At 44.7% G+C, this 24,975-nt stretch overlaps 1 protein-coding gene across 6 annotated transcripts in view; it reads left to right on the top strand.

Annotated features, from left to right (window-relative positions):
• The window catches only part of GMDS (GDP-mannose 4,6-dehydratase), a 621,800-nt gene that overhangs the window by 522,365 nt on the left and 74,460 nt on the right, over nt 1-24,975 (top strand). Inside the window, exon 10 of one of the 6 annotated variants that reach the window (XM_047418655.1) lies at nt 5,598-15,172. The exons of the other annotated variants lie outside the window; for them this stretch is intronic. Coding sequence (XP_047274611.1) covers nt 5,598-5,630 — 33 coding nt within the window. The 3' untranslated portion in view covers nt 5,631-15,172. Of the gene's footprint in view, nt 1-5,597; nt 15,173-24,975 lie in introns of those variants that run through there. 6 annotated transcript variants of the gene reach the window in all.

Here is a 24,975-nt window from a genome sequence, read left to right as displayed (position 1 = left end):
CTTTATATTATGTTTTGAATAAGACTCAGAATGGTCTCAAAAATGGCCCTTTGCTCAGCAAAGGCAGGTACTAGCTTGAAAGAGGCCACCAGTGGTTCCATAGAGGGCGTAGTTCCACCTGTGCTGGTAATTTCTTTTTCCTCATTGATTTAGTGCCTCAAAACCTTCAATATCGCTTCTGTACCAGTGTGAAGTTTTCAAAGTGTTTGTTCTGGACTAAGGACTCCAGCATCCAATTAAAGCTCAATTGAGCAACATTTTTTGGTACTCTGCCTACAGGGGTTTGTTACCACAGAGAGCCTGATCCTGGAAATTAGACTTTAAATTTTCCATCACTCCTGAATTCTGGTATTTGTTGATGATAACATTAGTACTTGAGTTCTGTGCCACTTAAGACCCCTGTCTTGTGTATAATTTTCTGTACATGCATACACTGATGCACAGATTTATTGCATTGTGTGTTCATTCTTAGAGAGAAAGTGGTAATTATGCTCAAATGTGGGCCTGTTGGCCAAACTGCCTGAGTTTGAAACCTATTGATTACTAGCTGTGCGACCATAGGCAAGTTCCTTAACTTCTCAGTGCCTCTGTTCCCTCATTTTTAAAAATAAGATTAATAATAGGACTTCTTTCAAAGAATTACTGGAGAATTAACAGAGTCAGTTATGCAAAGTACTTATTAGTACAGTGTCTGGCACAGAGTAAATATCTAATATTGATGTTGTTCTTAACCATTCATTCATGCACTAAGTATTTATCAAACACTGTGCTAGACCCTAGGAGTACAATGATGAACAAAACAGATACAGTCCCCACCCTTGTGGAGATTGCAAATGTAGAAATGATAGCAGTTTGGCCGGGCGCGGTGGCTCACACCTGTAATCCCAGCATTTTGGGAGGCCGAGGCGGGCAGATCACAAGGTCAGGAGATTGAGACCTTCCTGGCTAAGATGGAGAAACCCCATCTCTACTAAAAATACTACTACTACTACTACTAATAATAATAATTAGCCAGGGAGGGTGGCGGGCACCTGTAGTCACAGCTACTGGGGAGGCTGAGGCAGGAGAATGGTGGGAACCCGGGAGGTGGAGCTTGCAGTGAGCCAAGATCACACCACTGCACTCCAGCCTGGGCGTCAAAGCAAGATTCCATCTCAAAAAAAAAAAAAAAAAAAAAAGACGTGATAGCAGTTCCTGGAGTCCAGGATCTTTGGAGAAGCAGAACGACATTGTTAGTGACTTGTGCAGACTAACCAGCCAAAAATGGATAATGAAACATACTTGAAGCTTCTAGTGAGTATTACTAAGCACGTTTTAAGATGCTCATTTTTTTATTGGTTTTCAGCCTTTCTGATCCTGTTTCTGAAAGTTCAGGGGCTACTCAGTAAGTAGTACAGAAATATTGTGTAAATATGAGAAAACTACTATTGACCTATTAATATATATAAAATAACCACAAATATGTCGTCTTCTTATGTGAGAATTTTTAACTTAAAAATTCACAAAGGAAGGATTAATGAAGTAGTCATCCTAACGTGCCAAATTTGTAACCACATCAAATGGTCAATCCACTAAAAAAGCAAAACAAAAGAAAAAAAAAGCAAAGAGATTTTTTTCAGTCAAACAAACAAAAAGTCCCTTTTTTTTCTGCAGAGCATCTTGGGAAATGGGATAAAGGGACACATTCACAGACCCAAATCAAGTATTTTTCATGAAAAGTATCTTGGCTTAAACTCTACTAGCTGATGTTTACTCCTTTTTTTCCTTGCTACACTGTTTGTCTTTAACATTCATTTTTCTTTTTCTTCCCATTGTATTTTTAATCTCCTCAGTTGTGATTGGTTTTTGTTTTATTTACTTAGATATCTGATATTTATTCCTAATCTTTATAGATATCAGGGAAAAATCATAGGTTAAAACCTAGAACTAAGAAAGCAATAACTTCAAAGAAGTCCAACAAGCTAGTTAAAACAACACCTTCCTCCCGTAAAAACATGTGGCCTGTTTCTGATCAAATTACCATATGCTTGTCGAGTTGTCCTCCCCACCCCCCGCAAACTTTTCCTAATATTTTTCTGTAAATGATGTTAAGTTAAATGGCCTATAATTGCTTGCTCTATCTCATAGCCCTGTTTAGAATAATGATATGTAACACTTTCCAGACCTCAGGAACCTGATCTGTCATCAGAGGACTTATATAAATGCCAGTCAGAGCTTCCCTCAGCTCTGTCTCTGCGTTTGGGGGTGAAAAGCCCTCAACACACTCACCAGCCTGGCCTTTTGTCCTGAAACTGTCCCCCTTTTCTCCCATAGCTGTTCTCACCACCTTCTCACACTTCCCCTCCCAAAGCAGGAAATTAGATCCCCCCACTCTATCCCTTCATCTGTACCAGCTCTGTTAGAAGCCAGTCCATCCCTCCCGCTCCTGCTCCTTCTGACCTCTAAGGCTCTAATCCTCCCCTCCACCCCTGCTCTTCTTTGTTCCTTTCTCTGACCAGCGGGAGCCAGGGTCAGAGGATGTGGAGAGAGCAGATTAAGGATGAGTGCCTTTCTTCCTGCACTCTTGGGCCTATAGAAAGAGAGGCGAGACTACTCGTTCTGTAAGGTCCCTTCCCATTTTAATATCCTGGCATCCTGTGCTCCCATAACTTTTGGACCACAGTAGTGTGGAATGCTGATCAGAATGCTTCCTCTTTTGTAATTATTCTCTGAACTTCTTACTGCTTGTATTTTATAAATAGTTTATATCTCTAAATCACTGTTTATATATTTTAAGCCTCCCTCTTAGGCTCCTCATACTAATCTTTATATCCTTCCTTAATCACATTGGCCTTTCCTGCCCTTTTCCTTCCTTGGACTTAACCAAGGGAGCTTTAAGTTTCAGTCTCTTCAGTTGATTCTTAAATATTCCACTGTTTGTTTTCCATACTTCATAGGATCGCATACAAATCCCCAAGGGCCATATAACATTCCTCCTGAAGCCTGGGTTCTTTCCTCGGTTGCTCTCCCCCCTCAAGAGCATTTCATATCTAATGAAATAGTAATTGTGTACTGATTGTAATAACCCCAACTTCCTCCTTTTTTCCTTGAAGTTTCTTTTCTTATTATCAGATCTAGATTAAAATGATGTCATTAAAGACTCAAAAATCTTTATGGCTATACATAGCTATGTATCTTCCCTTATTTAAGAATATTTTTTGATTTATCCTTAAGTCCTTCTGGTATTCCTAGTGCAGATATGTCCATTACTTGCACCCGTGAGGAATTCCTGCAACATCTGTACCTTTTTTCCATAAAGCTATCCAGGTGATGGCTGACTATCCTCATTTATAATCATAATGCAGACTTATTGACGTCTACAAAATAAGTTTCAAAATCTTTTTATCGTCTTAAAAGTCTGTTTTAGCATCTGCATCAACTTTCCATAGGAGGAACAATTAGTTGTTGAGCTCAACTTCTACCTAAAGTAGCTCTGAAGTACATCACCTAAAGAATAGAATTACTTATGAGAGATCCATTCGTCCCTGGTGTGATTACCTGTTCCATCTTTATTTTCATCTTTGGCCGATGACCTCTGTATTCGGAAATCTAAAAAATCCCTCTCTCTTTTTTTTTTTTAAACAAATCAGCAGTGCTCTTCCTGTTCCACCAAGCCTTATTTATCTTCCAAAATAACAGCAATCCAAAAATCTGTGTTCATGGAGATTTCACAGATAATACTGCCTGTGGTTTCTCTCACCCCGTTCTGCCTCATGCTCTCGATAAAGTTAATTATTTTTTATCAAATTTGATTGTTTTCCCAGCACCTTCTTTACTTGAAAACAGTTGCTCTGCAGACACTAGAATATTCTGGGGCTGAAATGTAGTCATGCCCATCTACCGTGGGCTCTGCGCCACCTTTCTCACCCTGCATGCCTTCTCCCACCACCTCACTGCCCACACCTGTGGCTCATGCCAGGCCGGCTTCTCTATCCACTGTTACATCTAGTAGCAAAGGCAAAAACTCGTCTGGCTCCTTTTGTCATTAACTGCCAAGGTGATAGGTCCACCACTGACGGGCTTCCGTCCCAACTTAGTAGCTCTGATCTGCCTCCTAGACAAATGCTTACCAGGTTTGGCCCATCAGTAAATACCTGGTTTCATTCCGCTGTTACTCAGCAATAGGAACTGTCCTTAATAGCAAAATCTACCTTGTACATTTTGTAATGCTGTCATCAATTTGCTAGTTTCCTGAGTAAATCAGGTATGCCTTGCCCCCATGAAAACCTGGTGTAACAATATCCAAACTAAAAAATAAGTGACTGTGTGTAGGTACTAAAAGATTCTGCAGGTTTTAGGATTTATTACAGGAATATTTTAGATAGTACATTGACCATGCACATTTAAAATATAATTCTGATTTACCTTCAGCTTCTCAGATATATATCAGTATATATGAGAAAATATATATATATGAAATATATATATATGTATATATATGAAAATACATGGTTGAGTTTTTAACATTCAATTTTGAAAAGAATGTTTATTGAACATTCCATTACCGTAGAGGTAAGTCCCAGTCTAACACCAAGAAATTTAAAGATAGATGAGATAAGGTCCTTGTCCAATAGAAACTCTCAGATGAAAGGGAAGCAGCTGCGAAGCTGCCGGGACAGCCCGGGGTGGGGTGGGTGTAATGAGGGACTCACGGAACCAGGGCAGCCCAGGCGAGAGAAACAGTGACAGGTGCCAGAACATGGCAGAGATGGAGACCATGGAATCAGAGTGGACTAAGGACATGTGGAAGAGAAGACAGAGCTGAGGTTGACTCCCAGGACAGAGGCTGAACCATGTAGGGTAGTGGGGAGGTGACGATGCTGGAACCCAGATCAGAGATCCAGCGAGAAGACTTACTTTGCAGGGGGAGGTGTTGAGGTGTTCCGTCACACTCCCGGTGCCTTCGGGATATCTGTGCTGCAAAATGAGGGAGGCAGTTGGAGCTGGAGGCCTAGTGTAGAGAAAAGAGGTCAGGGCTAGGGCCTAGATGTGCAAGATGTGCAAGAGCTGAAATCCTGACATACATAAACTCCCTGAAGGAGCATTTCTAGGGGGGAAAAAGAGTGTGCACAGGGAGCTGGTCGCAGAGCCAGGCAAATTCGAATTCCAGGAGGTAAGTCTCAGAAACATATTTTGAAAAAGTAGGTTAATAATTCACAGCATACACAAACTAAGCACTTGTATCTGAGAGCCATAGGGCCAGATTAATGTGTAAAGAGCTAATATCAAAGAGTTACATTAATTGGCAGATGATTACTTCATCTCAATCCAAGAAAAACTGAGTTTCAGGGGGCAAGCAGAGACCCAATTTCAAATCACTATGTCCTGGAAGTCAGGTTGCAAAGCATTTTCAAATTCTTAAAGATGAAAGGGCTTTTATAAGTGTAAGGTACTTTGTGCTGCATATTGTCATTTTATTAGTCATCATTATTAATTATCATTATCATATACTCTTGTGAAATTATTAGTTATCAAAAGACATCTTCTGAAAGGATGCTTTGGGCTCTTCAACTCCTGACATTTTTTATTTAAATATTTATTTTGTTTTATACCTATAGATCTTCATGCAGAAAAAGTTACTTGTTCCTTAGTACTGCCAGCTGTGTGCTTCTTGACCCAGGGGTAGAAAGGATGATCGTGGTGGAAGGTAGGGATATGCTGAATTGGTGATCGACTTCTGATTCTGCCTAAACGGTATGTTTCAAGGGAGTGTGACAGGCGCTGAGATCCAGCAAGCTCTACAGCTCCTCCTAGAACTGCAGTATCCCCAGTAGGCTAGAGAGCAGCCACCAAGGAAGACATCAGGCTATCATCTGCTTTTATCTGCCAACCACCCCCCATGCTCCTCCCTTGGAAACCTGTCTGCAAAAACCCATCTTTGTACTTGCTCCCTAGAGCCAGCTGAGTGTCACTTTGATAGTCTAAAATCTATGTTGGTTTACTATTGCTGATGTAACAAGTAATCACAAACTTAGTGGCTTAAAACTACCCAGATTCATTGTCTTACAGTTCTGGAGGTCAGAAGACCAAATGGAGTCCCACTGAGCTAAATCAAGGTGCTGGCAAAGCCACCTTCCTTGTTGAGGCTCCAGAGTTCTTGGACAGTGAGATTTTCTCTTGGCAGGGAATACTGAGTTAATCACTTGGAACCGGTGCTGGGCTAGTGTTTTCCATGGAATGGATAGCATGTTGTTAATCACTTTGCGGACTAAACCAAAATGGAAGACGCTGGTGCATCATCTATTTAAAATTGCATAATGTACACACTCAGAAAACACCGCTGATACATTTGGGCAACTGGAAATGAGGACAGGTCGTACTTGAGCCTGAGGGACAAGGACAGGCTTCCTAATAAAGGGGAGTTTTAGAGCAGGGCTTTGGAAAGATTTGTAATTAAAAGAGAGAGTTGGGGGACGGGGTGTAAGAACTGGGAAAGAATTCACAATTGGGGCAGGAGGTGCTGTGGGAATGAACCAGCCGCATGAACAGAGACATAGGCAGGGACTCTGTCAGGTGGAGTGGGTGGGTGGCCCAGTCTGGGAACCCTGAGAAGCAAGGCTGGTAGAGCCAATATCACCACACCCTGCCCTGGCCAGGCCTTCTCTCACGCAGCCAGCAGGCCACCCCTCTTCACCGCCTCACCTCCAAGCCTGTCTGTGCAGCAGCTTAGCCACTCCTCTTATTTGTACCTCCTATTTTCTTGCCTTTTTCTTTCTTGCTGTCACGAGTCTTAAAACCAGTCATATGTCATCATTAAACTCCACATGGCCACTATTCTGATACCATTAATCTGTCTTTTGATACCTGCCATCTGACCCCTGATGGGTTCAAATTCTGGAAGAGTGTCTCCTCACCTGTTCCATTAAGTTAGTTAAACAAGTTTTGTGTTTGAGACAAATTCTTAAACAGTTCCCAGCTGTTTCAGTGATTAAAAGGCAGAGCCAGGAATAGGGAAGGCCTTACTTTCATGAGAGAGATTTGTTTATAGCATAAACGTGGATCCTTAACAGTAACTCAGAGAAAACCAATCTAAAGATGTTTTTAATCTTTTTTTACATATTCTTCGACTTCATAATGAAATGTTTCCCTATTTTCCAGGGATTTTGTTGAGAATGAAATTAATTCTGTGTGAATGTTTTTCACAGTGGTATTAGAAAGACACTGTATATTTTAAATTCAGGCTGTTTCTATTATTTTTTGAAAAGAGGTCAGTGGAGAAAAATGTGCCTAACATCGTCATCTAAAACCTGCTGTTTGAATTTTGGGGAATTTGTCATTTTTTCTAAGGCAAGTTACTAAGGTATTGAAGTTAATAAGACGTATTTGTTTCTGAATCAGTTTTTGTTGTGGAGGATTAGAAAGTACTATAGTCCCTTATTGAAATTCTAAAATTTAAAAAGTATAGTGGTAGTTTGAATATGTCCTACTAGCTTGCATTATAAGTTTTAAAGTATGTATCTCAACACCTTTTATTCCCAGCTCTCAAACTTTTGAAGTCTTCTAGAAGCTCCTAACCTCTCCTTACTTCTGTTTTTCCTGCTACAACATAACGATGAGTATTTTCCCACTGATCTCAATAGGCATGTTGAAAAAACTGATGCAATATTAGTTACAAGACCCTGCACAAGTGTCAGCTCCTTGGTGCAGCCTGCACCTGTTCCCCCAGGCAGTCAGCACTTACCGCTTATCCCATTGCATTGTGATGGGTCATTTCCACCTGGGGTCCTGGGGGAAGAATGACATCGGAGGGCCTTGAAGACGACCTGGCACATTGTCAGGGGATAAAGAATGAATGAATGTGCACATTGCCAAAGAATCATTCTTATGCTTTACAGCCAGCTCTGATAGAACCAAAATTATTCAAACCAGTGTATTAAACTATTAGAGAGCAATAGTCTAAACTATACTAAATAGCAAAGGGAATAAAAATAATAATGTTCCTCTTTCTATTTGAGATTCCATGGCAAGATGAGTGTTAAGTTCACTCACAACTTACACTTGTATATCCAACCTTTGAAAAGGTCATATTTCGTTTCTATTGCTTTACCTCTATACATGTCTTTTCACTAATTCTTTCATTTCTGCCACTTTCCTGTCTCCTTATGTTTCTGCTGATGTTCTCTCCTTTTTTCTTCATCTGTTCTGAAACTCTTATTTTCATAGGTTCTGTTCGTTTCTCCACTTCCCTCTGCACCTTTCTTGTTGATCTATCCCAACTGTCTCACACAAGCTCAGCACTCCAGATGTGCTCCCTGGCTCCTCTCCACAGGAAGACCTGGTGATGCCATATTACAGCCACTGCAGCCCGGCTCCACCCTTAGACCACTAGGGCATGATGCCTCCGGCATCCACAGCATATGCACATTGTGGGAAAATCTCATAGTATCTTGAAGTCTTGGCAGACAGCATCAACAATAATGCATATGCAAAAGGCATCCAAGGTTGCTTCTGTCTGAAGAGAGTACGACTGCCAACTGGAGGCATTGCCGGCTCTGAGCCTCCATAAGAAATGCCCCATTGTCAGCCACCATCTTTCCTTTACCCACTCTGAGGCTATATTTGTGGAACAAAGTGTCACCTAGCATAAAAGACACTCAGTTCTCTGGCTTTCCCCATGACACGCGTTTCTCTGCTACTCTGAAACTTTCTGAATTACAAAGTGAGAAATAAGTTCTACTCAGTGAATGGCCATCATGGCTGGTATTGGTATCGTGGAACCAAGGTCTTCCGGAAACCTGGTGGCATGATATTCCTTTTTCTCTTCACCTAGAATCTTCAATGTTTTTCTTTTTTTTTTTTAATGTAAGTGCAAAGAACTTAAATATATGATTGTGTAAGATGATAGTCATTTAGAACAACATTTTTTAAATTTCTGAAAAAGTGAGGCCGGGCACAGTGGCTCACGCCTGTAATCCCAGCACTTTAGGAGGCCAAGGCAGGTGGATCACGAGGTCAGGAGATCGAGACCATCCTGACTAACAAAGTGAAATCCCGTCTGTACTAAAAATACAAAAAAATTAGCTGGGCGTGGTGGTGGGCGCCTGTAGTCCCAGCTACTTGGGAGGCTGAGGCGGGAGAATGGCGTGAATCCAGGAGGCGGAGCTTGCAGTGAGCCAAGATCATGCCACTGCACTCCAGCCTGGGCGACAGAGTGAGACTCCCTCTCAAAAAAAGTCTGAAAAAGTGTTGGGCTTATAGAGATTTTCCTAATAAGGTGTACAGTGTCTTCTTCTTTGCACATCCATTTTGGTGGAAAATTCAGTCAAATGCACTAGAATAGTCTTTGGATATGTTTTCTAAAACAAGTATCTAATTCCCACATGAAGAGAAATGGCCTGATTGAGTATGCCTGTCTTACCAAAACTGTTAACTTACAGTGAGGATGTGAAAAAATAAGAACTCAGATAGGCCCGTGGATCAGATGAATAAGAAAAAGAGAAGAGACTATGGATAAAAACAGTTGCTGATTTTCCTTTGAGATGTTTGTGCTTCATGCCGCCAAATTGAGATGAGAGAAAAGCCAATTTCATGCAGTTTGGCACAACTGTAAAATGCAGCACAAACACACGTACGTGTATGTGTGTGTGTGTGTGTGTCCCATTGATCCAAAAAGCCTGTTTGTCTATTGGCAAGACGAAATATTATCTTCATGCATCACCACCTCCTCCTAAAGGTAGGATGGGGATGGCCGTCAGTGCCAATACATTGTCTCTTCTTTCAGCTGGCGGGGGTGGGCAGTGGGAGGGAGCCACGGGGCGGAGACGCAGAGCAAACAGTGCCAGCACTGGATCCCGGCGTGGGCCGGTGGTGGGTGCCAGGAGCAGCCAGGGCCTGTGCCTAGTCGTCACATGTGGTGCTGAGCAACCACCAACTCTTCCCAGGAAGGAGGTGAAAAGATAACACACACTGGAGTCCAGTGGAGGCGAGGACACTTCATCCCACAGGGACCGCAGTGGCCAAGGGAATGGTTTTAATGGTGGTTTGACTTGGCATACTTATGAAAAGGCTAGCGCCCACCCGCTGGCCTGTGGGTTTATTTGGCAAAACATAAAACAGAGTCAGTTGCTTGTCCTTGAGAGTGGCCACTATGGATCTACCACATTTCTGACTTGTCAGTCTGACATCCGTGGCTGGATTCTACATAGTCTTGTGTTGATGGATTTGTTGCTTTGGGAGAAACGCAGATATGATGGCATGGCCTTCTCACTATCTGCAGCAGAAACGGCCTTGTGTCTGCCCCGTGTCCCTGGTCATCCACGGACATTGGTCAGGCTTTCTGATTCACACCACTTTCTCCTCAGCCCTCCAACTAAGTAATATTTATATTGTTCTGCTAACAACCTCTATTGAAATCCAAACTTAATAACCTATTGCTTGCTAGAAATATTCTCCTCTTCCTTTCTGCCTGTTTCATGATCTTGGTTTTTTTTTTAAAGAATTCAACCCTTTTGCTTTTTCCCTTTCTCCATCTTTATAACTTTTTCAGACAATTGAACTTCTGTCTGAACTTCTGAGCTTTCCGATACCCTCATACTTTGTGGTCAGCATCAGAGACATCAAAGTAAAGTGGGTATTTGTTTCAAACCCTGAGTTGATGATAAGCCATTATGTCTGCTGCGTCTTCTCTCCATGTGAGTGACATTTTGCACCCCAGGCTTAGTTATAGGGAGCAAGTTAGGAATGTGTGTTTTGCAGTTTCTGTTGTTTATGTAAACCATCGATATCAGTTTATTCATCTGAAGGAAATAAGAAAAAACACTTCAGTCAAAATAATTAGGAGCTAAGATAAGAACACAGCACTTCAAAGTTCATTTAGCTACTTACATCTTCTACTTTACACGTCATCTCAGCTTCCCTATCTCCTAAGTGAAGGATGATTATGATAAACTTCACAAAAGTAGTGGGAGGTTAAATTAGTGTTTGTGAAGCATGTTGAGATCTTATGATCAAAGATACCGGAGTATTGCAGAATAGTGTGATTACTATCAAAGAAAAGAATTCCTCAAACCAAGAGTCTGGATTAATCTGACTTAATTTTCCAGCATCTTCTGTATCTGACTGAATTTTCCAGCATCTTCTATACCTTCTATATCTGAAGCCCCAAACCTCCAATCTCTTGCAGTTTTCTCGTGATCTTAGAGTCCGTTTCTAAGCATTGAAGAGGGTTAGAGAGTAGGCTGCAGTCATAAACTTGTAAACAGAGGAGAAGTGTTGGGTGTTAATGAAGGCTCAGGCGAGGGGCCGGATGGGGCTTTGGGGGGCATGTTCGGCTGGTGACTGTGCAGTGCTGCTCTCAGCAGCCACCGTTTGGCTGGTGCTCGGGTGGGGCCTTCACTATGCCAGAAAAACTGTCCCTCCACCCAGCTCATTCCTTAGAATCAACAGGGACTTTCATCCATGCTGCACAAAATCGGACGGAAAAGATGGCTTTCCACAAGTTTCCCAAGTCACTTAAGGGGCACGGAAGGGGTATGCAGGCAGCCGGGGTGTCAGAGGCAAAGACAGGCTGATAGCACAGAGATAAGCAAGGTGGATGGAAAACCATACCTAGACATAACGTGTGCAAAAATTGCAGAGTAGTATCTCCAAAATCACAGGCCACAAATACACAGATTTGGTGCAAACTGGCAAAATGAGTTTGTACATTTATTTCCCACCCATGTGTTTCATTTTGCCTGTAATCATCAGAGCTGTTGTGGATGGGTGGGTTACCCAAGTGTTCTTAAAGAGGCAACCCATTTCTTCTCAGGCAATACTACTACTTTAAGCAAAACCGCAGGCATCCTTTGTCAAGGGTGGCTACCCTAGTCCATGGTTCTTAAGCCTAGTACGTCAGACTCATCCAGAAAGCTGTTGAAAATACAGTCTTCCAGGATTCATCCTCAAACCACTTGAGCGGTGGACCCTGGAAACGTAGGACTCTGCAGGGATCCTGAGGCAGCCGGCTCTGAGGCTGGCCAAGCCTCGGTAAGTGGGGGCAGCTGTGCCCTGGGCTGCAGTCAGGGAATGATGCACACAGTTGGGTTGTCCCTAACCTTGTTGGTTTCATTCACCTCTTGAAGAATTAGATAAAAGCTGATTCCCCCCAGGGGAAAATGCTCAGAATACATCATGTATGTAGTTGTAGGGAATTGTGCCTGTCCAGCTGTCCATGCGGAGAAAACAAAGCTGAACTGCCAGGTCCGGCTCCTTTCTTCTCCAGCCCCAAGTTTTTGCTTGGCTTGGCACATCCTTTCATAGGTGTACGTATTTTGTAAATGTTCATGTCCAGTGATTAAAACTGTCATTGGTATAATTTCTGACGATATGTAGTCAACCCCTTCACAAGTCTGTCGTTAAGCCCTCCACAAACTCACAGGGGTGCTTTGGAAGAGCTTGACATCCGCCCTCCCCAATGGAACATAAGAGCCATTCACACCCCCGCCCTGCAAGGGAGGGTGTGCTTAGGACCTGGACATTGAGCTTGGCAGTATCACCAGATCATTTACCGATTGAAGTTAAATTGATGATAGAAATGTAGACGTCAAGATTTTTGTGCCTAGGTAGTCTCAGCTTCCCTGACCCCATCCTCGGAGAGCTCCAGGTCTAGGGGGACCATTCCCAAGGGGAACCTCAAAAGTGTATCTGCCATGTCAGGGCAGACGTGTGTTTTGGTTGTTTTTGGTGAAGCCCCAGAGGGCATTGTCCCTACACAGTTCTCTGATAGGCGGAAGCTCCATCAGGTCTGACCACAGCCTGGTTATACCACGGCAGGTCCAGAGCAGGTGGCTGCTCAGGGTTTAGGGACTGAATGAATGCCGCAGACGTGGAAAAGAAAATCAACTAGCTGTTTTAGGCATCTGATCAATCAGTGTGATTGGTTTCTTTACCAAGTTGATGAGTAGATCTGCTGTGTTCTCAGCAGTAATGTGGTTAAGCTTCTCAGGAATATACACATACACAAATGTTTTCCCCGGTCTGGTGGAGGGTAGTAATAAAAAGCAGAGCATTTAGAGACAAAGTCAACTTGACAGGCAGAGTGGAGGTAAACAGTCTTCCTCTGCAGGAGCAGTGTTGACAAGCAGTGATTCTTGGGAAGCGTACAGCTGTAGCACGGGCTCTGACTTCAGGGACTTCAGCAGTATAAAAACAATTTTTAAATACCCAAAGTCATTTATTTTAAGTGTACTTGTATGGTTTGGGGTTTTATGTTATCGGTTTATATATATGTGTGATTTTTATTAACTATTTCCAGAAATAATTCTGCAGTTAAGCCAAAAGCTGCTGCATGAAGCAAAAACTCTTCCTCCATAGATACCCTGCCTCAGTCGAGTTAGGCAGGTTTAGCCCAACCAAAGGACTGTATTTGTTGAGAGAAGAGACATTTGTTTTCTCCCCAAACTTCAAGCTCTGGTTTTGAAACATAACTCTCAGTCCCATCTCTAAATCCTAGTTACAGCATTAATTCTCAATAAGTTCTTCTTTTTGCACGTACTCTCATGTAAGCAGCAGTCTAAATAGCCATGTAAGGGCAGCCAGAGGAGTGGGTTTGTGCCTTGGGGAACAGAGGAGCCAAGGCCCACCCACGTTACTTGTCCACTTCTCCTTCCATCTGTGACAATCAGCTCCAAGCATTAAGGGCTTCTCCTGGTCCTGGGGGCCAGGCAACACGTCACCTCTGAGATGTTGGCCTTTGCCACCGTGGCTTCTCCAGCACAGAGCCTCATTGTCACTTCCTCCAGCTGCTCAGGGAACATGATCTTCACTGTTGTCATGTCAGATGAGGAAATTGGGCCACCAGGAAGCCGAGTGACTTGCCCAAGGTCACGCTGTGTGCTAGTGGCACAGCCAGTTTCCAGGCCGTGCTCCCCCACGAAGCCTCTGCAACTTTCCTCCCAGATCACGTGCACTGGGTCACCCAAAAACTTTGCCCTTCTGCACATTAGCCTCTAAGGACAGCTGCTCTAAGCACTTTCTAGCCAGGCCCCTCAGCAGCAGCACTACAAGGGTGGCTGGCACTCTGGTTCTGTAGACACTGTCTCCTGCCTTTTCTCAGTGCTGCAGTGGGTGTATCTGCACCTACTTAATGGTCTGAATCTATAAACCAGCAGTCAGACACCTGCTGTGCATTCAGGGGACATAACCTGTCATGCCTACCTGTGGAGCTGAGTCAGTGTACACGGTTCTCGGCAATCAGGGGACATCAGACAGCTGCACCCTCTTTTCCAGTGACACAGGCACCAGGTATGAAGGCTTTGAGGGATTTTCTGGAAGTAGGAAGGGTCAGGGCCCAACTGAACATGTCACCACAGCACCTGACAATGGCTTTTTGTCCTTTTAGTGTATGACTGGACACACTTACTTACCATGTAAAGGTGCTTCTTTTTTACATTTAAAACCCAAAGCTGTGAGATGCAGCGTACAGAGACGTGACCCCGGTTGGCCTTTTGCTGTTTCAGATGGCAGTACTCAGAGGAACGCCAGCCAGGCCCAGAGGCCCCCGGCGCTCACTGGCCTTTCTTTCATGTGCCCTTGGAGTTCTTAGAATAGACTATGAGATTTTAATTCAAAAGGAATATTCTACCAGCAGTTTATAATAGGCATGGTTTGAGGAAAACCCAAACCTGCTTTTCCCAAGATCTAAACCATTTGATGCACCAGTTATCTGATGCAGTGGGGCTCTCGCCCGATCCATTCTTTGGAGCTACACCATACTCGATTGTGCGGTGACTGACTTAGCCCCGGGCAGTTCAGACTTGGACCCACCGTGTGGCATGTTTGTCCTCGTTGCTGTTGCTGTATTGACAACGCCTTCAGAGGTGGTTTCGAGTGCAAGCCCCCTACCCGCCTTCCCTCCACTCCTCATCTGCCCTCCAGCTTCTCCAAACACGCTTCGCTGCCTGCTGGGAATGCTGCCTTGCAAAGGAGTGACGTCTCAAGTGTCGGGAAAGTTACAGCCTTCGAGTTGTTTCCTTCCCTACCTTTGAGATATACCCAGATGCCGCATTTTGTTTCACGCTTTTCTGTGGATGGTGAGCAAATGGCTGATTCTTTATGGCCCTCAGAGCCCCAGGAGGGTGTGGACAAGCACCTTTCCCACTTGATACTTCTGGATATTTCCTTTCTATGCCATTAAAATCGGATGAGTGCTGTATTTGTTTTTTGTTTATTTGTATTTCATTTATTTATACCTTACCTTACTCCAGAAAATGTTTAATAACGCATGTGAATAGTAAGGATGTAGCCTAGTTTGTGAAGTCTTTGGTGCAACAACAGATTTGGTACTTGAAAACCTTTTTCTCCCAGAAAGCGTGTTTTAAATGATACGAGGGCCCCAGCCCTGCCAACACAAGCCTATTTTCCCAATAACATGCCTGAAATACTAATGAAAATATTTTAACTGCGTCTAGTTACCATATGTAAAATTGCTTTCAGTGCAAGCGCACTTTCCAACGTCCAAATCTGGGTGCTACTCACATGTGTCTTTCAGAAGAGTGGGTGAGTGGCAGAGCTCCTCCCAGGCCTGTGTGTGGTGGGCCATGCCAGGCTGCCTGGGAGGAGGAAGGTGGGGAGCTCCTCCCAGGCCTGTGTGTGGTGGGCCATGCCAGGCTGCCTGGGAGGAGGAAGGTGGGGAGCTCCTCCCAGGCCTGTGTGTGGTGGGCCATGCCAGGCTGCCTGGGAGGAGGAAGGTGGGGAGCCCACCTCCATCTGGTTGCTCACCCTGGACAACGCCATGGAGGAGAGGGCTCTGGAGCAGGGCCTTTGAGAGAGTGTCCTATGATTACTTCTCTCAACTGTGTGGCTGTTCAGTCTGTCACTGAAGCCTTTCCTCCCCTCTTCTGTGAGACCAAGAAGTATTTCTGAGCAATACATAGATAGATGGATCAACAGATAGATATTTTTAAAAATCAGAATATTTTCAGCTCACATTTTGACCTCAAAACCTTATGACTTGGTTTTGCTTCCTTAAAGTCACATTAAAAAGTATGGTTAGCAGAGACGTGGTTCTGGTGAGCACAATGGAGATGTAATTTTAATTCCTTCTATTCACAACCAACACTAATATTGAAATTTTGGGTAAGCAACATTTGAGAGGCACTGAAACTTGAGATTCACTTAACTGCTAAAATACTACTCTGTTATCCACAAACTACCAGTTATAAATGTTTCCGTGCCTGATTCAGTTGACAGCAAGAGACTTCGGAAGGCTATAAGTTAGGAACCAGTATGAGATGCCAAATGCTTCCTTGCCTTCCCGAAAATACTGCCATGAGAGTAGGCCTTTAAAGCAATTTCCTTCAGGTTTAGAGATCTGTTCGACAGCATAGTGTCCAACCATAGGGGATAACTGAGCACAGTCCTTCCAAATGCCACCATGCAGCAAATCCATTAAAGTCCGTGTCCATTCAGACTATGGAGTAGTAGCTCAGGGAAGTGTCTGGGATAAAATGATGGGTGAAAAAAGAAGCATAAAAATGCGCAAACAGTATGATCACAACCATATAAGGAAACCTACACACAGGTGAGCAAACGCTGGGAATCAGCCACGTGCTGCGGACGCCTCGTGCTCCCAGCCTCGTTCCAGCAAAACTGTTAACAGCAGTGTTGTGTTCATGATGGGCCTGCGAGGGGTTCTCCTCCGCTGGTTTGTGTTTTCCAAATGTTCATTAGCGAACATGTGTGACTTTACAACAAAAAGAAAACAGTGGTGAAGTATGTTAGTCAGACTTCAGCATCGTTCTCATCAGTTAGAATAAAGAAACGCATGAGGAAAGAGACAAGTATTTTTCACAGGCCTCAGGTTAGAACACATGGGCAGAACAGCATGGACACTTCCCTTGACTCCCCTGTTTGCCTTGCTGCCCCCACCTCTGATCAGTCACTAAGCCTGTGCTGCTGCCTCTGGAGTGCCTGCCTTTGTGGCTTACTTCTTGTATTCCTGCCTCAGCACCTGCCCACCACCTCCCCTCAGAATCATCAGCTGTGCCGCGATGGTGCCAGCACACCGCACACATCTGATCATACACAATATATACATCTGATTAATATACAAAACCATAACAACCCTTGAGAATCGAAATGAATGAAAATCTGTTCACTTCATTCATTGCCCCAACAATTTGAGGCCTGCCCGCTATAGTACCAATCATTCTATTTCCTCCCATATTAGTTCCAACTTCCAGGCACCTTATCAACAACCGGTTAATTGCTATTCCACAATGACGAATTCAACTCACCCTAAAACTTCTTCAGGGCTTAATGCCCCCCAGATGCACCTGTTCTTGCAAGGGCCTTCCTGCTGCGCCGCCACCCTTCTCATTGCTGTGTGGGTCTAGCCCCAGATTGCTGGGTGCCCAGCCGCCTGCCAGGACTGCAACTTGATGGTCATTCCTGCCCTCCCCAGTTCCCAAACTCTCCTGAAGCTACCTCTCCTCCTCCCTCAGGTCTCAGGTTTACTGGAACTTCCTCTGGAAAGTCCTCCAGCTTCCCAGGAGTGAGCTAGACGTTCTCTCTTCTGTTGCCATGGACACCCACACTTACAGCCCCACACCATGCGCAGTCCATTATCCGTGATTCCAAAATCCAAAGAGCTCAGGGAAAATCAAAACTTCCCTTAAAACCCATTCTCCTACAAAATCTGGCCCAACCTGACACAAGACTAATTATGTAGTCTGTCTTCTTATCACTTACTGTAACTGTTCATACATTTTGCTGAAGGAATATTCACGTTTGATTATGGTGTGCTGGCCAGATGGTGCTGGGGCTGCTCAGAAAGATGGGATTAGGGTAACTACAAACTTACCACCTGCCTATCGAGAGTACAAGGGGCAGGGGACAGAGGCAGCACCAGGACAAGCCTAACTCAGCCTGTCCTGGCAGCACAGGGCAAATGTCCACCTGTGTGTTTTGTGCCCATCACCTTGTGTCTCTACGAGCCAAAACATCTCAACTCCAAGCTCTCCGGAGGCTTTGGAAAGGCTCTGTGCACCTGTACTCTGATTATTTGTGTCTATTTCTACCACTGTCTTTTTGGCTCTTTAAGCATAGGGAAGGTGTTTTGTTCCATTTGTATCCCCAGTGCCTGGCCTGACATGTGGTCAGCTATCAACACTTACTGGTCAAAATGTTCAGTAGTCATCGCTTTGTCGTTTAGTGGTATTTAATAATTATCTATAGAACTAGTATCCTACCATCAAAAGTTACTGAGGTGGGAAATTTCCACCTTGGCTTTCTTCAGCATTTTCAACATGAGTAGTACTATTAAATGCTTTAATAACACAACCATTCAATGACTCAGTTTCAAAGGTACTTTTTAGGAAGAACAAGTATGTACTTGAACCCTCACACCCCTCACCCCCGCCCCCCTCTCCACCGCCGCCAAAACAATAGAACAAATGCTGTCATAGCCAGGTGGCCTTAATATTAATCCACAAAGCAAGCTCCACGCAGGCAGGGACTGTGTTTATTACTTCCAATTTACGTATTTCTCTTCTCACACATGAAAATACCCACAACAACGGAAGTTCAGGAGTGAGCACTTACCGCGTACGTATTACACACTGGACACTGTGCTCAAAACTCCCGGTGCATTTGGTAATTTACTCTTTTCAGTGACATCACAACACAGATATTTTCACGCTCCGCATCCACCTGTCCTGGCCCTCTTCCTTTCTGGGGTGTTCCTTTAATTTTTTGAAGTTTCTTTCTAGTTGGTCTTGCTGATTTCCTCCTTTTGCTCCAACAGACCATCTTGAATGGTACTCCCGTACTGACCTTCCTTCCTCACAGACACGCTCTTGCTCAGTTACCCTCAGTGGCTCTCTGTTGCCCACCCCCATGGAGCCCACACCACTCTGCCAGCCTCAGAGTGCCCAGAACCTGGTTTCCTGTGCATTCCTCAGGCAGGGCTGCCTTACCCCCACACCCACCCCGCCTTGAATCTCAGTGCCTTTATTCAGGCTGCCCCCACCCCTGCGGTCCTCTTTCTCCTTCTGATTGCTCTGTTACATTTACAGCCAGCAGCCCCAAGTCAGCCTGGAGACAACCTTGTGTTGTTGACTCACTGTATCATCAGCGTTGATCTTGTCCCCTTAGCAAAAACGTTAACTTGTTGGAGTCAAGAACGAGGTCTTGTCTTGCTGTCATATCTTCCTCGTGCCTGTCACTGTGGCAGACAAATGATAGGTGATGATGAATAGGGTGATGAATGAGCCTTAGAAAGTCAGGGTGCACAGACTTTCAGAAACACATAATCTGGTTTGCAAGGACAATGTTCTTAAATTCATTTTTACAAGAAGCTAATGCCGAAGGTGAAAGAAAAGGAAAAGAGAAATATGATTACTCTAAGTCTTAAACATAGATCTGAACATCAAGTTGTGGGAGAAATACAACTTCACAGTGTGCCAAAAATAAAACAGCCTTGGCCCTGCGGCCACTGGTGAGCTGAGTGCGAACCAAGCCTGTGCCATGGGGTCCTCAAGTGCAGCTCAGCCCTGGGCTGCTTTCACACCAGTGTGATGCCCAGGAGGTGAATGATGTCCCCACAGTACACCTGGCAGCTGTGGGGCAGGACACCTCGGCAGATGCCAGCAGGCGCATCCAGGCACAGTGGCCAGCGTGCTGCCCCACAGCTTTATTGGGGAGTAGGGAAGAGGATTGTATTTCTTTATTTATACAAAGTAGCTTTGAATGGACTTCCACCCAGCACAGAAAAAGCCGTATAAAAAAGCAACTTTAAGTTTTTTTTTTTTCTTTTGAATGCAAGTCTCTAACTAGCTGAGCTACAGACTTCTCTTTGGTATGACAAGGCATGTTTGGATATGCTGTGTTACCACTTTCGGGTGGAACTGGAGATAAGAAAGGTGAAGTCAGGTAGCAACTGTCTGCCTTAAGAATATTTACAAACTATCAGTTAAAACATCTGCTCTCCCTGAGGAAGAGCAAGAGCCAGAGGGGTGGAGGCAGGGACAGAGGAGGCAGAGAGAGAGAACAAAGTGAGCACACCCCATTTACCCCAGCTCACTTTTCCCTACCATGCCCTGTGCCCACGTAGCCAGCATGCAGGAACTCCTCTGTTTCACACAGGAGTTGCCGACACCAAGGAACCCACTGCATGTGCTTGTCCTCATTATGCTTAAGAAAGATCTCGGCTTCCTTCCCCCAAAAGGTGCTACTGCAGCTGTAGCTCAGGGCGTGTGTTTTGTTCAGCACTTCAACTCATCTCTGCACATGTGGACTCTGGTCCAGTGGCTTAGGAAATCCTCACGGAGAGTGATCTGGGATACAAACCCCAGCAGTCATAAGTCAACATGATGTATTGGCCCTCCTCTTAGCGAGGGTTGGGGTGGAGCTGTCACAGAGCCGAAGTTATCTTTCACAGAGAAGCGATTTCCCCAGATTGAGGTTAGGGTCACCAGATGGGCAGTGAGGCGGACATTATCTGCTATCCAATGTCCAGAGCTCCAAGACCCTGAGTGCTGATGGCTTAAATGCATCCGCCTGAAACCTTGCAGAAACTTTCCTGCTGAAGCTCTTAAGATCTCCCCAGGGTTCCCAACAGGTGGCCACCACCCTTATCAACAGTAGTATTAATGCCACCACAGCTGGGGGACCCACAGAGGGACAACGTGGTGGCTTCTCTCCAAGGCTCTCTGTTATCTTCCCTATGGAATGAGCTTCAGTCATAGCAAGTGTGGATCTTTTTGGTGCTGCTTTCTCTGCCCTCCTAACTACTCCTCCCACATACAGTGAAATTATAAAACCGAGCCAGAATCAATGCTATCAGGAAAGGGTTCTGCACATCAAGCTCTTAAATGGGCAAAGAATATTTTTAATCAAGACTCTGGGTGAGAGAACAGAATACAGTCTCATGTTTTAGGCCAGGCTATGCTCTGACTGAAGTGTGTGCTGCTTTCCCTCTGCCCTGACTCAAACCAAGGAGCCATACCAGGCATTCCTGCCACTCTAAACGTCTGTAATTCTCTCCAAGGCTCTCTAGCAGTGCCTGAGTTAAGCTGCACCTTTACGAAGAGTCGGAGTCCAGCTACTGCTGTCAAAGCTCGAGCTTGCATCAGGCATTGCTGAGAAAACCGCCAGCTCTGACTGGCGTTGTGGCGCCTTTCTTCCAAACTTTCCTTGTCTTAAAGGGGGCATTCCAGTTTCTAGTTCGATAATACCCAAGAGAGGCGTGCGTCATTTGAGAAGAATCTCTCACACCCCCATCGCAAAAATGTTGGCCATCTGACATTTTATAACATCATGTCTGCCTGTAAAAGGCAAACTCCTGTGTTGTGAATCAGCTTTCAGCTACTTTGGAAGAACTACTTCTCTTTGAATCAGAACATGTTTCATTCCATATAAAATTGTCATACCTGTCATCAGTAAACAGAAATAATTAGTTGTAAGGAACTTACTTTAAACTTACAGAAATAGGCACATTTATAGAGGTATGGAAAGGAAGAATTTATAAATACATTTATTTATTATAATAAATATATATTATTTGAAAATAAGACCTCTGCCCCAGTGACCTTTGATTTAATGGATTAACGTTGGAAAATAAAATGTAATAAATTATTTTTAGTTTTGTCATCACAGACCACGCTATTACTCCCTCAGAAATTTGAATACGCATCTTTTCTTTTTCTTTTTTTTTGAATATGCACCTTTTCAATTGTACAGACTTGCCTTTAAGCTCAAACACTGCCCTAATTAAGGACTGAAGTTGCTCTGTCGATGAATGGGAAAGTGTCAGAGTAGATGCGGGTCATGTGTTTTGAAAACATGTAAGCAGGCAGTGTTTAACAAGGGTGGAAAGACACACTGTGGAGACATTGGGTTGAAGGACAGAACTTTGGTCATTATTTTATTCTCTATGGGAAGGAAACATTATGTATACATAATGACACAGTGAACAATGAAAGAAATGTAGCCTGTATTTTTTAAATAATAAGTGCCATTTATGTGTGGAATTGGGGTCAGCTGGTTAATTATAAATGAAAGCTTAACACAAATATAGTTTATCCCTTCGGACAGATTGATGTACTCCACGCTAAGGGAAGGGAGGGAGAGGCAGAGAGACAGGAAGAAATGAAGGAGGGCAAATGGGTTTAGCAAAGGCATGCGCTGTAAATATGGGAGGCGGGTATCTAGTCATTCTACAGTTAATTACCTAAAGATTCCTGAACCCAGACTTTTTAGTCCCTGGTTTGTCACCCCGGCGGCATCATCAGCCTGAGCTGGCTTCCTGGGATTTTGCACTTCACTGTTATGATTTACGAATAGGATAAGTTATGACTGACCCTTCTTGACTCCTGCCACCTGTCTGTCAGTTATCTTTTAAAGTACAGTTAGGGTCTCGGATTTCCAGAACTGGGGCTGGGATGGCCTTTGAGTGTCAGGCATTCCTGTTCTTGGTGGAGGTGGACTGCTCAGCCTCAGGTCCCAGTGCTGGGCCCGAGGAGGGACAGCGCGAGGTGTGCTGGCACCTGCAGTCTTCTTTCTTGCCACCGCATAGGACATCACTAGACAAAAGACATCAAAATCAGATGCTGTTGTCCCACGTTGCCATCTCTCTCCTCAAATCAGTGTCCCAATATTCAGGCCGACTTCGGTTCATCCTGTTTTAGCTGTGCCCACTAGAATTTAAAATGTGGCCGTGCAGCTCCTGACTCTGCTGAGGGTGCCTCGGAACCAGAAGACTGTAGAGCTGCTTTTCTCCCAGGGGAGAAACTAATGATTTGCAGAAGCTAGTAATTTAGAGTCTATGGAACTTGCCCCAGGCTCTCCCTTCCCTCCTGCTTTCAGTGGTACTGAGGAGCTGTATTTAATCTGAACAGAAAATTCCATTTTCTTCTGATGATTTTGTGACTATATGAAAATGGAATTAAGGGATTGTAGATTTCTTCCCCACAAGCATATTTTAAAATCCAGAGTAAAAATAAAAACTTTCGCAGAGTAATTGAGAATAAAGGTGAGAAGTTTTCTAATAATACTTTAAAAAATTCTCATATACAGATAAATTAGAAGAAGCATGAAGACTTTTCCTTAAAGAAATGTTCCTTTCCCTGCACTTTGAATAGATGGACAAAATTAGTATGCAGGGACAGATCCAACTTTTGTGGGAGCTCATACACTTTGGTGTCGGTGCGGAGGGGGTGGTTCTTCTATAGAAAAAGAATGCAAAAATATCTCCCTTTTGCAGAATGTTCACATTCTGCACGTGTGAGCTGCTGTTCTCCTCACCTGGGCCTGGAGAACATGGGTGAGATGCTGAGCCCCAGGGCTTAGGCCAGCTGCCTCTGCGTATGGAGGCTGTGTGTGCCCCTCAGCTGTGCCAGGGAGGAGTCACAGCAGACGGCGTGCTGCCATCCTAATCTCTGTGGCACACAGGAGAATGTCCCCACCCCCAAGGAAGTCCCCATGCTAATTCTAGAATACGTGGCTATGTCACCTTACATGATAATCCAGAGACTTTGCAAATGGGATTGAGTGAAGGGTCTGGAGATGGTCCTGGATTTTCCAGGGAGCCCTAATGGTAACCACAAGGTCCTTATAGGAGGAAGGCAGGAGGGTCAGAGTCAGAAAAGGAGCAGTGAAGACGAAGCGGGGTCAGGGTGATTCAAGGAAGGGGCTGCGAGCCAAGGGGTGTAGGCGCCTCTAGAAGCTGGACAAGGCAAGGGAACGGGTTCTTTCCGGGAGCCTCTAGAGGCAGCCAGCCCTGCCCACACCAAGAACGTAAGAGGATCGACACGTATTGTTTTAAACCCCTACACCTGCGTTAATGTGTTAGGCTGGACTGGCTCCAGCCTCTCCCCTCTAGCCTCTCAGCAACCTCCACAGTTAGGCCCTCCTGGAGACCCCTCCTGGCTGCCTCAGGCCATCTCCTGTACATCCCTCCTCCTCCCCTCACCCAGCTTGTTCTTTCTCCCCACCCCCATCTTCCTTATTTTTCTTCTTTTCTTTGCAACCTCAAAACATAAACCCTCAAGCTCATTTCCGCAGCCTGATGTGCAGTCTTCCTCTCTGTCTTGTGTCTCTCCTCTCACCCATGCCTCCATGGGGGACAGAAGGCTACACCGTGTGGCTCTGGCAGCCCCTCACTCCACACAGTGTAGGCATGTGCTGTTCTATCACACATGGACACTAAGAGATCTTGTCAAGTAGACAGAGACTAAGAGGACCTATGTGTTCATGACACTTTTTAAAGGTCTGAGCTGCCCATTCAGCTTTGCATGAAAATGGAGATTGGGAGTTTTGACCACCCCATGACTGTGGCTTGTTGTGAGTGTCTGCTGTGAAGTGGCACTGCCTCTTCACAATATCGTTGGAATTCCATTTGGCCAGGTGACAAGAAAGTATTCACAAGCCTAAGGAGGAACTTATCTGCTCCTTCCTGAGGAAATATGTGCCCCCACCAAAAAAAAAAAAAAAAAAGGGAAACCAGGCCTCAGTGTGCCACAGAGCAGCACTGCCACTGGAGGCCGCCCTCTGTCCAGGGTCGCGCACACGTGGGCACTGGGGCCGGATGGCCCCCATGCCTGCCCTTCTCAGAGTGGGCTGTGCTGCACTCTGAGAAGCGTCTCCACCTCAATACCAACCCTGTAGACTTGGCTTAAAGCAGCGGTCCTGACTCAGCTCACCTCCCGGCCATCTCATTTCCTTACTCGGGAGAGCGGTGATTCTGTGTATTTTTCTAATAAGCAAAGTCCCCAGAGATGAAAGAAGCCACCACAAAATACTCAACTCTTTCTGGAAACAGAAGAAAGACTGCTGCCCCTATTTGCAGGGAGGGAGGATGTTCTTCCCGAAACACCTGAGTGTGTGTTTGGACCACACGGGTGGAGGACAGTTCAGGGAAACCAGGTTTGCGTTTAAAAGATCTTGGTTCCAACCTCATAGGTGTTGTACACCCATTCCAGGCCTTGTCTCCAGCGCTACCTCACATGTATACCAGCT

Source organism: Homo sapiens, chromosome 6 (assembly GCF_000001405.40).
Source record: "Homo sapiens chromosome 6, GRCh38.p14 Primary Assembly".
In the NCBI taxonomy this organism is placed as follows: Eukaryota; Metazoa; Chordata; class Mammalia; order Primates; family Hominidae; genus Homo; species Homo sapiens.
The sequence above is the reverse complement of the archived record's forward strand: the minus strand, read 5'-3'. Positions and strand labels throughout refer to the sequence as shown.